Source organism: Homo sapiens, chromosome 19 (genome assembly GCF_000001405.40).
Source record: "Homo sapiens chromosome 19, GRCh38.p14 Primary Assembly".
NCBI lineage: Eukaryota > Metazoa > Chordata > Mammalia > Primates > Hominidae > Homo > Homo sapiens.
The window spans coordinates 50,273,367-50,287,496 of NC_000019.10; the positions used below are offsets into that span (position 1 = coordinate 50,273,367).

At 48.6% G+C, this 14,130-nt stretch overlaps 1 protein-coding gene across 3 annotated transcripts in view; it reads left to right on the top strand.

Moving 5' to 3' along the window:
* MYH14 (myosin heavy chain 14) overlaps nucleotides 1-14,130 on the top strand; it is a 106,919-nt gene that overhangs the window by 69,745 nt on the left and 23,044 nt on the right. For all 3 annotated transcript variants that reach the window (NM_001145809.2, NM_001077186.2, NM_024729.4), the window contains 7 exons: nucleotides 2,625-2,837; nucleotides 3,391-3,535; nucleotides 4,717-4,923; nucleotides 6,671-6,775; nucleotides 6,865-7,017; nucleotides 8,228-8,476; nucleotides 13,116-13,328. In NM_001145809.2, coding sequence (NP_001139281.1) covers nucleotides 2,625-2,837; nucleotides 3,391-3,535; nucleotides 4,717-4,923; nucleotides 6,671-6,775; nucleotides 6,865-7,017; nucleotides 8,228-8,476; nucleotides 13,116-13,328 — 1,285 coding nt within the window. The remainder of the gene's footprint in view (nucleotides 1-2,624; nucleotides 2,838-3,390; nucleotides 3,536-4,716; nucleotides 4,924-6,670; nucleotides 6,776-6,864; nucleotides 7,018-8,227; nucleotides 8,477-13,115; nucleotides 13,329-14,130) is intronic.

The following is a 14,130-nucleotide window of genomic DNA, read 5'->3' on the forward strand; positions in this document are numbered from 1 at the left end:
GAATCAGCTGAGATTTGCCAAGTGGCCTATGTTAGGAATCATAATAATTATATTTACACTCGTTCACAGTAATTGAGCTCCTACTGTATGCCAAATGTGGTGCTTAGTGTTTCAAATGCTTTTTATGCACTGTGCTTCATGCAATCTAAGACCCACTTGATTACAAGTACAGCTCCATTTCGGAGATGTTAAAATGTGAAAAACTGTGCATCTTAGAGTTGATGGAACATGGGGGGTGTGTGTGTGTGTGTGTGTGTGTGTGTGTGGTTAAGAACACGTCTTTGTTTTGTTTTGAAACGGAGTCTTGCCCTGTTTCCCAGGCTGGAGTGCAATGGTGTGATTTCGGCTCACTGCAACCTCTGCCTCCCAGGTTCAAGCAATTCTTGTACTTCAGCCTCCCAAGTAGCTGGGATTACAGGTGCCCGCCAACAAGCTAATTTTCGTATTTTTAGTAGAGACGGGCTTTCACCATGTTGCCCAGGCTGGTCTGGAACTCCCAACCTCAGGTGATCCATTCGCTGAGGTTAGGATTATAGGCGTGAGGCACTGCACCCGGCCGTGAACACACATCTTTGAGTCTGACTTCTGGGTTGGAATCCTGGCTTCTCCCCTTTCTAGTCATGTGACCTCATGCAAATCACATCACCTCTCTAGCCTCAGTTTTTTCATCTATAAAATGGGGTAATTGTAGACAGTACTCCTAAGGTTAGTGTGAGGGTTAAAGAAGAAAGTGCTCCTCAGACACTTCGCATACCCTGAGCCCTCAATAAATGCCGGATGTTTCTGTTACTACTTTATTACTCTTGTTAATTTTTTTCTTTTTTACTGAGGTGAAATTCACATAAAAGTAACCATTTTTTAAATGTACAATTCAGTAGATTTTGCCCATTCACAATGCTGTGTAACCATCACCTCTATCTAGTTCTAGAACATTTTCTCTTTTATTGAGCTGGAGTCTTGCCCTGTCGCCCAGGCTGGAGTGCAGTGGCATGATCTTGCCTCACTACATCCTCCGCCTCTTGGGTTCAAGCAATTCTCCTGCCTCAGCCTCCCGAGTGGCTGGGACTACAGGTGCCCACCACCACACCCAGCTAATTTTTGTATTTTTAGCAGAGACGGGGTTTCACTATGTTGGCCAGGCTGGTCTCAAACTCCTGACCTCAGGTGATCCACCTGCCTTGGCCTCCCAAAGTGCTGGGATTACAGGCATGAGCCACTGTGCTGGCCTCCAGAACTTTTTTATCACCCCCAAAAGGAAACCCTGTATGTATTAACCAATCACAGCCAGGCACAGTGACTCACGCCATAATCCAGCACTCTGAGAGTAGGAGGCAGGAGGGTCGCCTGAGCCCAGGAATTCAAGACCAGCCTGGGCAATATAATGAGACCCTGTCTCTACAAAAAACTTTTAAAAATTAGCCAAGCATGGTGGCATGTGCCTGTAGTCTCAGCTACTTAGAGGACTGAGGTGGGAGGATCCTTTGAACCTGGGAAGTCGAGGCTGCAGTGAGCTATGATTGTGCCACTGCACTCTGGTCTAGGTGACAGAACGAGACCCTCTCTCTCAAAAAAAAAAAAAAAAAGAAAGCAGCCACTCCCCATCCCTCCTTCTCCCCAGCCTGGCAGCCTCTGATCCACTTTCTGTCTAAATAGAATTTGCCTATTCTAGATATTTCATACAACATGTGGCCTTTTGTGCTTTAGTTATTTTTATCGCCATCTCCCCAGCAACCCTGGTAAAGGGGAGTGTTCATCGTCATGTCCTCCCACAAATCAGGACCCTGCCCTTCTTAAGTCACTTGTTGGAGCAGGGGGCCAGGAGAGGATACTAAGCCAGGCCTGTGTGGCTCCTGAACCATTAACCCCCAGGTCCCAGTTGGTGCTGCCCCCAGATCCAGCTTCTCTTTGCAATGACGCTGTGTGAAGGGACAGGAAGCCACATCCCTGTGAGAGCTGTAAGGAGGGACTCCGGGCCAACCCAGCCACTCACGGACCCGGTAACCTCGGCAAGTGCTTTCTCCACGCTAGACCTCAGTTTCCTCATTTGGCAGGAACATTAAATGAGGTGATACAAGTAAAGCACTGGCATGAGGCAGGAACTTACTAAGTGTCTCCTACGATTACTGTTGCTGTCATTCCCACTTTACAGCTAAGAAAACTGAGGTTCGAAATGAGTCAGGCTGGGCGAAGTGGCTCACTCCTGCAATCCCAGCACTTTGTAAGGCCGAGGTGGGAGGATGACTTGAGGCCAGGAGTTCGAGACCAGCCCTAGGCAACATAGGCAGACCTTGTCTCTTTGGGGAAAAAAGATTAGCCAGGCATAGTGGACCGCACCTGTGGTCTCAGCTACACGGGATGCTGTGGTAGGAGGATCACTTGAGCCCAGGAATTTGAGGCTGCAGTGAGCCGTGACTGCACCACTGCACTCCAGCATGGGCAGCAGAGCGAGACCCTGTCTCAGAAAACTTAAATTAGTACTGCAGCCAAGTGCCCAGTGGCAGAGAGAGGATTCTAACCTGGGACTGGCCACTCCCAAAGCCCACATCCAGCCTCTCAGTCCCCAGAAATCATTGCCTCACTCTGGCCTGCCCCTGTATCAACTCCACGGTTCTTGTCACCCCCAGGGCAGAAGACGAGGGTGGGGCCCGGGCCCAGCTGCTGAAATCCCTGCGGGAGGCTCAAGCAGCCCTGGCCGAGGCCCAGGAGGACCTGGAGTCTGAGCGTGTGGCCAGGACCAAGGCGGAGAAGCAGCGCCGGGACCTGGGCGAGGAGCTGGAGGCGCTGCGGGGCGAGCTGGAGGACACGCTGGACTCCACCAACGCACAGCAGGAGCTCCGGTGAGGCCCGGTGGCAGGCCGCTGTCACAGCCTGTGCACATACAGGGCTGGGGGAAGGACTTAGGTACAAAGTCTCTGTCTATACAGAGGCTTACTTATTGTACAGTTGTTCATGAACCACCGGCTCTAGGTCCGGCCTGGGTCAAGCTGGGGACAGAGATGGGTCAGACCCAGGTGTTACCCTTGGGAACTTCCAGTCTCAGGGGAGGCAGATTCAGGCAAAGACAATCTCAACCCAGAACAAGGGGTGCTTTAGCGGAGTAACACGGGGCACTGTGGGTGATAAGTGAAGACCCCTAAACCAAGTCTATGGGAGATCCAGGAAGACTTTCCTGAGGAAGGGCCTTTTGGAAAAGGGTTTTGAAAGGTGAATAGGAGTTCACCCTTAAAGCCACACTCCTTCCACAGCATCACCACCCAGATCTCCTGAGGAGCATAACATGAGGCCCTCATATTTTAAGGAAACATGAAAAGGAGAAACAACCAGCTCCCCCAAAGCCCCTGCCTTCCTCTGCTCTGAAATTCCCATCCTCTCTCCTTTCCCCCAATAAAGGTCCAAGAGGGAACAGGAGGTGACGGAGCTGAAGAAGACTCTGGAGGAGGAGACTCGCATCCACGAGGCGGCAGTGCAGGAGCTGAGGCAGCGCCACGGCCAGGCCCTGGGGGAGCTGGCGGAGCAGCTGGAGCAGGCCCGGAGGGTGGGTTGGGGCAGGGGGACAGGGCAGGGGGGCCACGGGGAGGGCAGGGCAGGACGCGGGGTTGGAGGAGGTACCGCTGGCTGGTTCTAGGCTAGCTCATCTCCCTGGGCCCCTTTCCTCACGCATTCATGTGCATCTTTCATTCAGCAAGCATTAATGGGGTGTGGACTATGTTCCAGGAGCATTGCTGGGGAACCAGCCATGAACCCAACAACCAGCACTGCCTTCCCTTGTGGAGCTTTCCTTTTAGTGAGAGAGGCAGAGGGTAAACAATATAAACACTTTCAGTTTATATTGGGGTGATAAGTGCTATGGGGCCATAATGAACAGGAAAAAGGGATCAGAATTCTAAGGCGGGTGAGTTTTTAAGTAGAGAGGCTGTGGAGGTATTCTGCGAGAAGGTGACATCAGGGTAAAAAACTGAGGGAGTGGCCGGGCATGGTGGCTCTTGCCTGTAACTTTGGGAGGCTGAGGCAGGCAGATCACTTGAGGCCAGGAGTTCGAGACCAGCCTGGGCAACATGGTGAAACCCCATCTCTACTAAAAATACAAAAACTAGCTGGGCGTGGTGGCACACACGCCTATAGTCCCAGCTACTTGAGAGGCTGAGGCAGGAGAATCACTTGAACCCAAGAAGCAGAGGTTGAAGTGAGTCAAGATTGTACCATTCCACTCCAGCCTGGGTGACAGAGCAAGACTCTGTCTCAAAAAACAAACAAACAAACAAAAATGGGCCAGACGTGGTGGCTCATGGCTGTAATCCCAGCACTGTGGGAGGCTGAGGTGGGTGGATCACCTGAGGTCAGGAGTTCAAGACCAGCCTGGCCAACATGGCAAAATCCCATCTCTACTAAAAACACAAAAAATTAGCCGGGCGTGGTGGTGGGCGCCTGTAATCCTAGCTACTTGGGAGGCTGAGACAGGAGAATCACTTGAACCTGGGAGGCGGAGGTTGCAGTGAGCAGAGATCGTGCCTTTGCACTCCAGCTTGGGCAACAAGACTGAAGCACTGTCTCAAAAAAAAAAAAAAAATTGGGAGTGAGGGGTGAGCTATTTGTTCACTGGGAGAAGTGTGTTCCAGGCAGAGGGAACAGCCAGTGCAAAGGCCCTGAGATGGGAGTGTGCCTGGCCTGGTCCAGGAAAGGCCTCATAGATCTTTGCTCATCTCCTTCCCACACCAGGGCAAAGGTGCATGGGAGAAGACCCGGCTGGCCCTGGAGGCCGAGGTGTCCGAGCTGCGGGCAGAACTGAGCAGCCTGCAGACTGCACGTCAGGAGGGTGAGCAGCGGAGGCGCCGCCTGGAGTTACAGCTGCAGGAGGTGCAGGGCCGGGCTGGTGATGGGGAGAGGGCACGAGCGGAGGCTGCTGAGAAGCTGCAGCGAGCCCAGGTAAGTGGGGTGGGCAGGGCAGAGGTTTCTGCTGTGTGACCTTGGTGACATGCCTGCCCTCTCTGGGCTTCTATTTGGTCCATATCAAACCAATTGTCTCGTTTGGCTCTTCCAACATAATCATGTACAAGTCTGGGCACAGTGGCTCATGTCTGTAATTCTAGCACTTGGGAGGCCAAGGCAGGAGGATTGCTTGAGCCCAGGAGTTCGAGACCAGCCTGGGCAACATAGTGAGACCCCATCTTCAGAAAAAAAAAAATTTTAATTAGCCAGGTATGCTGGCATGTGCCTGTAGTCCCAGCTACTCAGGGGACTGAGGAAGGAGGATCCCTTGAGCCTGGGAGGTCGAGGCTGCAATGAGCTGTGATTGTGCCACTGCACTCTAGCCTGGGCAACAAAGTGAGATCCTGTCTCAAAATAATAATAATAATACCCAGTACTTTGGGAGGCCGAGGCGGGCAGATCACCTGAAGTCAGAAGTTCGAGACCGGCCTCACCAACATGGAGAAACCCTGTCTCTACTAAAAAAAAAAAAAAAAAAACACAAAATTAGCCGGGCGTGATGGCGCATGCCTGTAATCCCAGCTACTCGAGAGGCTGAGGCAGGAGAATCACTTGAACCCGGGAGGCAGAGGTTGTGATGAGCTGAGACCGCGCCATTGCGTTCCAGCCTGGGCAGCGAGAGTGAAACTCCATCTCCAATAATAATAATAATAATTCACTCATTTAAGATGTGCAATTCAATGGATTTTGGTATATTCACAGAGTGGTATGGCCATCACCATAATCTAATTTTGGACCATTTTCATTATCCCAAAAAGAAAATCCTATACCCTTTAGCTATCATCCCCCACTTCTCCCCCACCCCACCCAGGGAACCACTAATCTCCTTTCTGTCTTTACTGATCTCCCATTCTGGAGATCTTATATAAATGGAATCCTACTATATATGGGTGGCCTTTGTGGCTGCCTTCTTTTACTTAACATAACGGTTTCAAGATTCATCTGTGTTGCAGCTCGTAGCATAATTCCTTTTTTATTTTTTAATTTTTAAAACACCAGCTGGGTGCAGTGGCTCATGCCTGTAATCCCAGCACTTTGGCAGCGGAGGCGGGTGGGTCACCTGAGGTCAGGAGTTCAAGACCAGCTGCCTGACCAACATGGTGAAACTTCGTCTCTACTAAAAATACAAAATTAGCCGGGTGTGGTGGCGCATGCCTGTAATCCTAGCTACTTGGGAGGCTAAGGCAGGAGAATCACTTGCACCTGGGAGGCGGAGGTTGCAGTGAGCCGAGATTGCACCATTGCGCTCTAGCCTGGGCAACAAGAGTGAAACTCTGTCTCAAAAAAACCCCAAAAAACAACAGCACGCAATAGATCCATATACCTTTCTATTGCCGAATAATGCCCGTTGTATGGATATTCCACATTTGTTTATCCATTCGTTTATTGATGGACATTGGGGCTGTTCCCGCCTCTTGGCGATGGTGAGTAATGCCACTGAGAACATTCCGGTACGAGTTTCTGCATAGACCTATGCGTTCATTTCTTTTGGGTATGCACCTAGGAGCGGGATTGTTGGGTCATGTGGGAACCCTATGTTTAAGCATCTGTGGATCTGCCAGACTGTTTTCCACGGCAGCTGTAACATTTCACATTCCTGCCAGTGTGGTAGAGAGTTGAGGCAGATGGGGTCACTGGGTGGAAGCCACGATTGGAGGGCTTCATTCCCGTCCCTTCCCTGCAGGCTGAACTGGAGAATGTGTCTGGGGCGCTGAACGAGGCTGAGTCCAAAACCATCCGTCTTAGCAAGGAGCTGAGCAGCACAGAAGCCCAGCTGCACGATGCCCAGGTGACCCTGCCTGCCCTTCGGCTCCACCGTCACCCTCCCCTCCTTGTCCTCCCAGCCACACCTGACATTGCCGTCTCCTCCATCTACAGGAGCTGCTGCAGGAGGAGACCAGGGCGAAATTGGCCTTGGGGTCCCGGGTGCGAGCCATGGAGGCTGAGGCAGCCGGGCTGCGTGAGCAGCTGGAGGAGGAGGCAGCTGCCAGGGAACGGGCGGGCCGTGAACTGCAGACTGCCCAGGCCCAGGTGAGCAGCCCTACGTAAGACCTTCAGGGAGGCACAGCCCCCCTCACTGCTCCTCCTGGGTTCCCCAGCTCAGGGATGGCCATGCTGCCCACCTTCTCATAGGCCAGACCCATGGGTGCCTTTCTCATCTCTGACTCCCCCTTACCCCCCACAGCCCATGCCCAGCCCTGGCTGTCCTGACCCCTGACTCTCAGCCTCATCCCTTGTCCCAGCTCCAGCTCAGCCCCAGCTCCAGTGCCGTCCTCTCCCATCTAGATCCTCCTCTTGGCCTCTGGGCCTCCAGCCTCTCCCCTAACAGCTCATCCCCTGCACAGCCCCAGAAGCTTCTTTCTTTACCTGGAGCTGACCCTGTCCCTCCTCTGCTCACAGCTCTCCCACGCCTCCCCAGTACTCCTAGACAAAGTCCATGCCTCTCAGTCAGGCATTGAGGCCCTGCAATCTCTGGTCCTTCCTCTGCCTTTAGCTGTATTCATCTCTATCTCTACTTTCCTATTTTATTTGAAAAAAACCTTTTATTTTTCCAGACTTAGCATTAGGCTCCCCTGTGGGAAGTTTCCTGACCCGTCTTCTCTTTCTCCTCTGTCCCAACTCCAGTCACCTTGGGCTGGGACTGTCTCTGCCCATGAGTCTCCCCACCAGACTGAGAGCCCCTTCAAACTAGAATCCCATCAGAGTTAGATCCAGGTCTGTAGCACAGCCTGATATAGGGCCTGATGTATGGTAGGCGTTGAGAAATGCCTATTGAATGAATGAGTGATGGTACGTGCCTGCAGATATCCTTCAACTGGCAGACTTCTATGCATACTTCAAGACCCATCTCAAATGCTCCTCCTTCAGGAAGTTTCTCCTGAATGTTCTAAACAGATTCTGGGCACTTCCTGTGGACCTCCATAGCTCCCATACTGCTACCTTAACCCCTATCACCCTGGCTGTGACTCTGTGTCTCCCCCAGCAGCCGAGGGGCTCCCCAGGAAAGACTCCAGGTCTGATTCACCTCTGCATCTTGGAGGGAGTAATTTTAATTCCCTGGAAGAACTAGGGCTCATAGTATTCACAACTTCACACCACTCAGAGGCAGAAGAGCCCAGCAGAATGACCCCTTTCCCTCTTCAGGCCTCAGTCTCTTCATCCTGGAAATGGAGCACCACCAGCTTACACCTTGGTCACTCATGGCCGTGACCACCAACCACCCTCTCTCTCCTCCCCTCAGCTTTCCGAGTGGCGGCGGCGCCAGGAGGAGGAGGCAGGGGCACTGGAGGCAGGGGAGGAGGCACGGCGCCGGGCAGCCCGGGAGGCCGAGGCCCTGACCCAGCGCCTGGCAGAAAAGACAGAGACCGTGGATCGGCTGGAGCGGGGCCGCCGCCGGCTGCAGCAGGAGCTGGACGACGCCACCATGGACCTGGAGCAGCAGCGGCAGCTTGTGAGCACCCTGGAGAAGAAGCAGCGCAAGTTTGACCAGGTGGGGCACCTCAGTTCACCCAGCCGGGGAATCAGCAAGTCCATCTACGCTTCCCATGGTCGTTGTGAGGAACCAGTAATCCGTGCTGTCACGGCTCAACTAGGCAGTTGTAGTGGACCAGGAAGCAAGACCCTTCTTTGCTCTGGGCCTCTGTAAAATAGGACATCCCTCTGTCCTGATTCATGCCTCTTGCCACAGCATAATTCCTCGTAGCACCCACTTTTACTTTCAGAGCTGCCCTGGTTTTTGGATGACAAAATATACGAATACCTTCAGTACCCCAGAGATTGCTTATGAGAATTAAATCAAATAACTCATCTCACTTCTGCTGATTCACGGGGTACCTCAGGCAAGTTGCTTTTTCCATCTCAGCTTCAGTTCGCCCATCTGGAAAATGGCAATAATACCAAGCATCTGGCAGCCTGAGGATGAAATAAAAATCACAGAACCTTAGAGAGTTCAGATCAGGCAATCCTGAGGTTCAGATCCCAATTCGGCCTCTTGATGGCTGTGTGGCTTGGGCAAATTGCTCAACCTCTCTGTGCTTTATTTTATTCATTTAGAAAATGCAGTGTGAAGCTGGGCACTGTGGCTCATGCCTGTAATCCCAGCACTTTGGGAGGCCAAGGCGGGCGGATTGCCTGAGCTCAGGAGTTCACAACCAGCATGGGCAACACGGTGAAACCCCGTCTCTACTAAAATACAAAAAAATTAGCTGGGCATGGCGGTGTGCGCCTGTAATCCTAGCTACTCGGGAGGCTGAGGCAGGAGAATCACTTGAACTGGAAAGGCGGAGGTTGCAGTGAGCCAAGATCGTGCCACTGCACTCCGGCCTGGGTGATAGAGCAAGACTCCATCTCAAAAAAAAAATAAAAAATTAAAAAAAATTTTTTTAAATTGTCATTTCCCTGTAGGTGGTGCAGTATGTTTTTCTAGCTGACTTACGATTTCTCTCTTTATGTTTGGTTCTTAGTGGTTTGACTGTGATATGCCCAGCTGTGGGTTTTTTGTATTTATCCTGCTTTAGATTCACTGTGCTTCCTGTAGCTGTGGGTTGATGTTTTTGATCAAATGTGGAACATTTCAGCCATTATTTCTTCAAATATTTTTATCTCCCACTCTCTCTCCTTCCCCTTCTTCTTGGACTCCAAATACATATGATTTGATTGTAATACTCTTCCACAGGTCATTGAAGCTTTATTATTTTTGGCATCTTCTGGAATTTTATATAAATTATTTTCACATAAATCTCTTTTGGGATGGGCTTATTTTACTCAAAATAATTTTTTTTTTTTGAGACAGAGTCTCGCTGTGTCACCAAGGCTAGAGTGCAGTGGCACGATCTCAGCTCACTGCAACCTCCACCTCTCAGGTTCAAGCGATTCTCGTGCCTCAGCCTCCCAAGTAGCTGGGATTACAGGTGTGCACCACCATGCCTGGCTAATTTTTGTGTTTTTAATAGAGACGAGGTTTCACCATTTTGGCAAGGCTGGTCTCGAACTCCTGGCTTCAAGTGATCCACCCACCTCGGCCTCCCGAAGTGCTGGGATTATAGGAGTAAGCTACCGCACCCAGCCTCAAAATAATTAGTCTGAGATCCATCCATATTTTTGCATATCAATAATGTATTCCATGTATCAATAATGTATTTTTGCTGCTGAATATTATTCCTGTGGTATAGATCAGCCACATTTTGATATTCATTAACCTTTTGATGAACATTTGGGTTTTTTTCCAGTTTTTTTCTAGTTATGGATAAAACCTTAGTCTTTCTCAAAGGTGGTTTTAATTAACATTTCCCTAATGACCAGTGACGTTGAGCATCTTTTCATATGCTTATTTGCCATCCATATATCTTATTTGCTGAAGCTTCTGTTCAGATCTTTTGCCTATTTGTTAATTAATGTTGTTTGTTTTACTATTATTGAATTTTGAAAATTCTTTATGGGCCGGGCACGGTGGCTCATGCCTGGTAATCCCAGCACTTTGGGAGGCCAAGGCAGGCAGATCACCTGAGGTTGGGAGTTTGAGACCAGCCTGACCAACATGGAGAAACCCCGTCTCTACTAAAAATACAAAATTAGGTAGGCATGGTGGTGCATGCCTGTAATCCCAGCTACTTGGGAGGCTGAGGCAGGAGAATCGCTTGAATCTGGGAGGCGGAGGTTGTGGTGAGCCGAGATCATGCCATTGCACTCCAGCCTGGGCAACAAGAGTGAAACTCTGTCTCAAAAAAACAAAACAAAAAACAAAAAAAAAACAAAAAAAAAGAAAGAAGTTATTTATGTATTCTAAATGCAAGTTCTTTATCAGATATATGCTTTGCAAATATTTTTGTCCAGTCTGTGGCTTTTCTTTCCATTCTGTTAGAGTCTTTCAAAGAACAGAAGTTTTTAATTTTGTCCAATTTATCAATTTGTTGTTTTATAGATTGTGCTTTTAGTATTGTATATAAGAAATTTTTGCCTAACTCAAGGTCACAAAGGTTTTATCCTGGTTTTTTTCTTGTTTTCTTTTTGTTTGTTTGTTTGTTTTGTTTTTTGAGACGGAGTCTTGCACTGTTGCCCGGGCTGGAGTGCAGTGGCATGATCTTGGCTTACTGCAACCTCTGCCTCCTGGGGTCAAGCGATTCCTCCTGTCTCAGCCTACCAAGTAGCTGGGATTACAGGCACATGCCGCCACACCCGGCTAATTTTTTTATTTTTATTTTTTTTTTATTTTTTATTTTTAGTAAAGACAGGGTTTCACTATGTTGGCCAGGCTAGTCTCAAACTCCTGACCTTGTGATCCACCTGCCTCGGCCTCCCAAAGCACTGGGATTACAGGCATGAGCCACTGCACCCGGCCTATCCTGTTTTTTTTTTCTGGAAGTCTTCCAGTTTCAAGTTTACATTTAGGTCTGTGATTTATTCTGAGTTAATTTTTACATATGATGCTATCATGGCTCCATGTTAATTTTTGTGAATATAAATATCCAAGTATTCCAACACTGCTCTCCACTGACTTGTTTTTGCATATCTATTGAAAGTCATTTTTCTTCTTCTTCTTCTCCTCCTTCTTTTTCTTCTTCTTCTTCTTTTTTTTTTTTTTTTTGCCCAGGCTGGAGTGCAGTGGCGTGATCTTGGCTTGCTGCAACTTCTGCTTCCCGGGTTCAAGCAATTCTCCCACCTCAGCCTCCCGAGTGGCTTGGATTACAGGTGTGCGCCACCACACCTGGCTAATTTTTGTATTTTTAGTAGAGATGGGGTTTCACCATGTTGGCCAGGTGGTCTTGAACTCCTGACTTCAGGCGATCTGCCTGCCTCAGCCTCCCAATATGCTGGAATTACAAGCATAAGCCACTGCACCAGCCTTTTCTTCTTATTTGAAGTTATTTTGCCTCTTCTAGTTCCTTTGCATTTCCGTATGTATTTTAGAATCAGTTTGTCAATTTCTACCCCAAAACAAAAAGCCTTCCAATTTGGAACTGTGTTGAATCTATACAACGGTTTTGGAAGAACTGACATCATAACAATATTGAGTTTTCTCACCGAGGAAGAGGGTATATACGTCCATTGAAATACCTTAGAAATGTTTTTTAGTTTTCAATGTACATCTTTCACATCTGCTGCCAGATGTATTTCTAAGTATTTCATGGTTTTATGGCTATTTTAAGTGATGTTGCTTTCATTTCCATTTTTGATTGCTAGTATATAGAAACAATAGATTTTTGTATATTGATCTTGTATCCTACAATCTTGGCTAAACTCACTTACTAGTGCTAATATAGTTTTTATATATTTCATTGGATTTTCTACATAGATGATCATGTTTTCTGTGAACAAAGGCAGTTTTACTTCTTTCTTTACCTTTTCTTTACCCTTCTAGGACTCCAAATGCTTGTATGTATGACTGCTTGGTACTTTTTTCAGGTTGTTAAAGTTCCATTAATTTCTGTTACAATCTTCTTTCTTTTTCTTTCTTTGCTCTGTTTGGATAATTTATATTGACCTGCTTTCAAGTTTACTGATTCTCCTGATGTGTCCAGTCTGCTACTAATTTCATCCAGTGACTTTTTTATTTCAGATATTTCATTTTTCAGTTCTGGCATTTCTATGTGGTTCTATTTTACAGTTTCAAATCCCTCCTCAAATAACTGCCTCTTCACCCATTGTATCTGTCTCGTTCTGAAACTTATCATGAAGTCCTTGTGTGCACGTTCTAATATGTAGGTCATCTGTGGGTCTATTTGTATGGACTGATTTTTCTCTTAACTATGAGTTCTGTTCTCTTTTCTTTTTTGCATGTTTTATAAGTTTATTTGCCAATTACTGTGTCTTAAAAAAAAACAGTAAAGGTTGAAGTACATTTAAAAATATATATATGTGTATTTTTTCTACTGCCACTCTTAAGAGGAAGGAATGCCCTTTCTTCTGTTGAACATATAGAGTTAGGGACTGATCAGTTTGATCCATTCAAGAGTTAAGCTGGTTTGGGACACGGTTGCAACTTTAATCCCTCTACCTCCCTCTTGTGTCTCTGCCTTTGTCTGTCTCTTTCTCTCTCTTTCTCTGTTCCTGGCTGCTCCCTCTTCCCGTTCCCTTGTACACTCCTTTCAGCTAATCTATTTCCCCCTACCCCATCTCCCTCAAACTGGAAGCTTCTGGCAGAGGAGAAGGCAGCTGTACTTCGGGCAGTGGAGGAACGTGAGCGGGCCGAGGCAGAGGGCCGGGAGCGTGAGGCTCGGGCCCTGTCACTGACACGGGCACTGGAGGAGGAGCAGGAGGCACGTGAGGAGCTGGAGCGGCAGAACCGGGCCCTGCGGGCTGAGCTGGAGGCACTGCTGAGCAGCAAGGATGACGTCGGCAAGAGCGTGAGCAGGGCCCCCGCTCCCCGGGACACACTGGGTGAGGGGAGACACGTACATGCATGTATGCTTTCACACATAGAACATGAAAAACAACCAGCCATCAAAGTCATATGTTCATGCACAAAGAGAACAAGAGGGCTGGGCATGGTGGCTCACTCCTATAATCCCAGCACTCCAGCACTTTGGGAGGCCAAGGTGGGCGGATCACCTGAGGTCAGGAGCTCAAGACCAGCCTGGCCAATGTGGTGAAACCCTGTCTCTACTAAAAATACAAAAATTAGCCAGGCATGGTGGCACATGCCTGTAACCCCAGCTACTTGGGAGGCTGAAGCAGGAGAATCGCTTGAATTCAGGAGGGAGAGGTTTCAGTGAGCCGAGATCATTCCACTGCACTCCAGCCTGGGTGACAGAGCGAGACTGTCTCAAAAAAAAAAGAGAACAAGAGGGGGACTGTTCAGCAAACATTTGCATCCATATAGACACACACAGCGTGAAGAGAATCTCCACCAAACACTGTGCTAATGCACACGCATAGAAAGTAAGGAGAGCCATTCACCAGAGGCAGGTCTTCATGTAGACATTCACAGAACGTGAGGAGAATCTTCCATCCAGCACATGTGTTCACACACAGAATACAAGAGCTGCTCACAAAGCACACATGCTCACATTTGTGTACACGGGATGTAAGGAGAATCTTCTATTACTTGTTTTTGTTTGTTTTTTGTTTTGTTTTATTTTTGAGATAGGGTCTTGCTCTGTTGCCCAGGCTGGAGGGCAGTGGTGCAATCATGGCACATTGCAACCT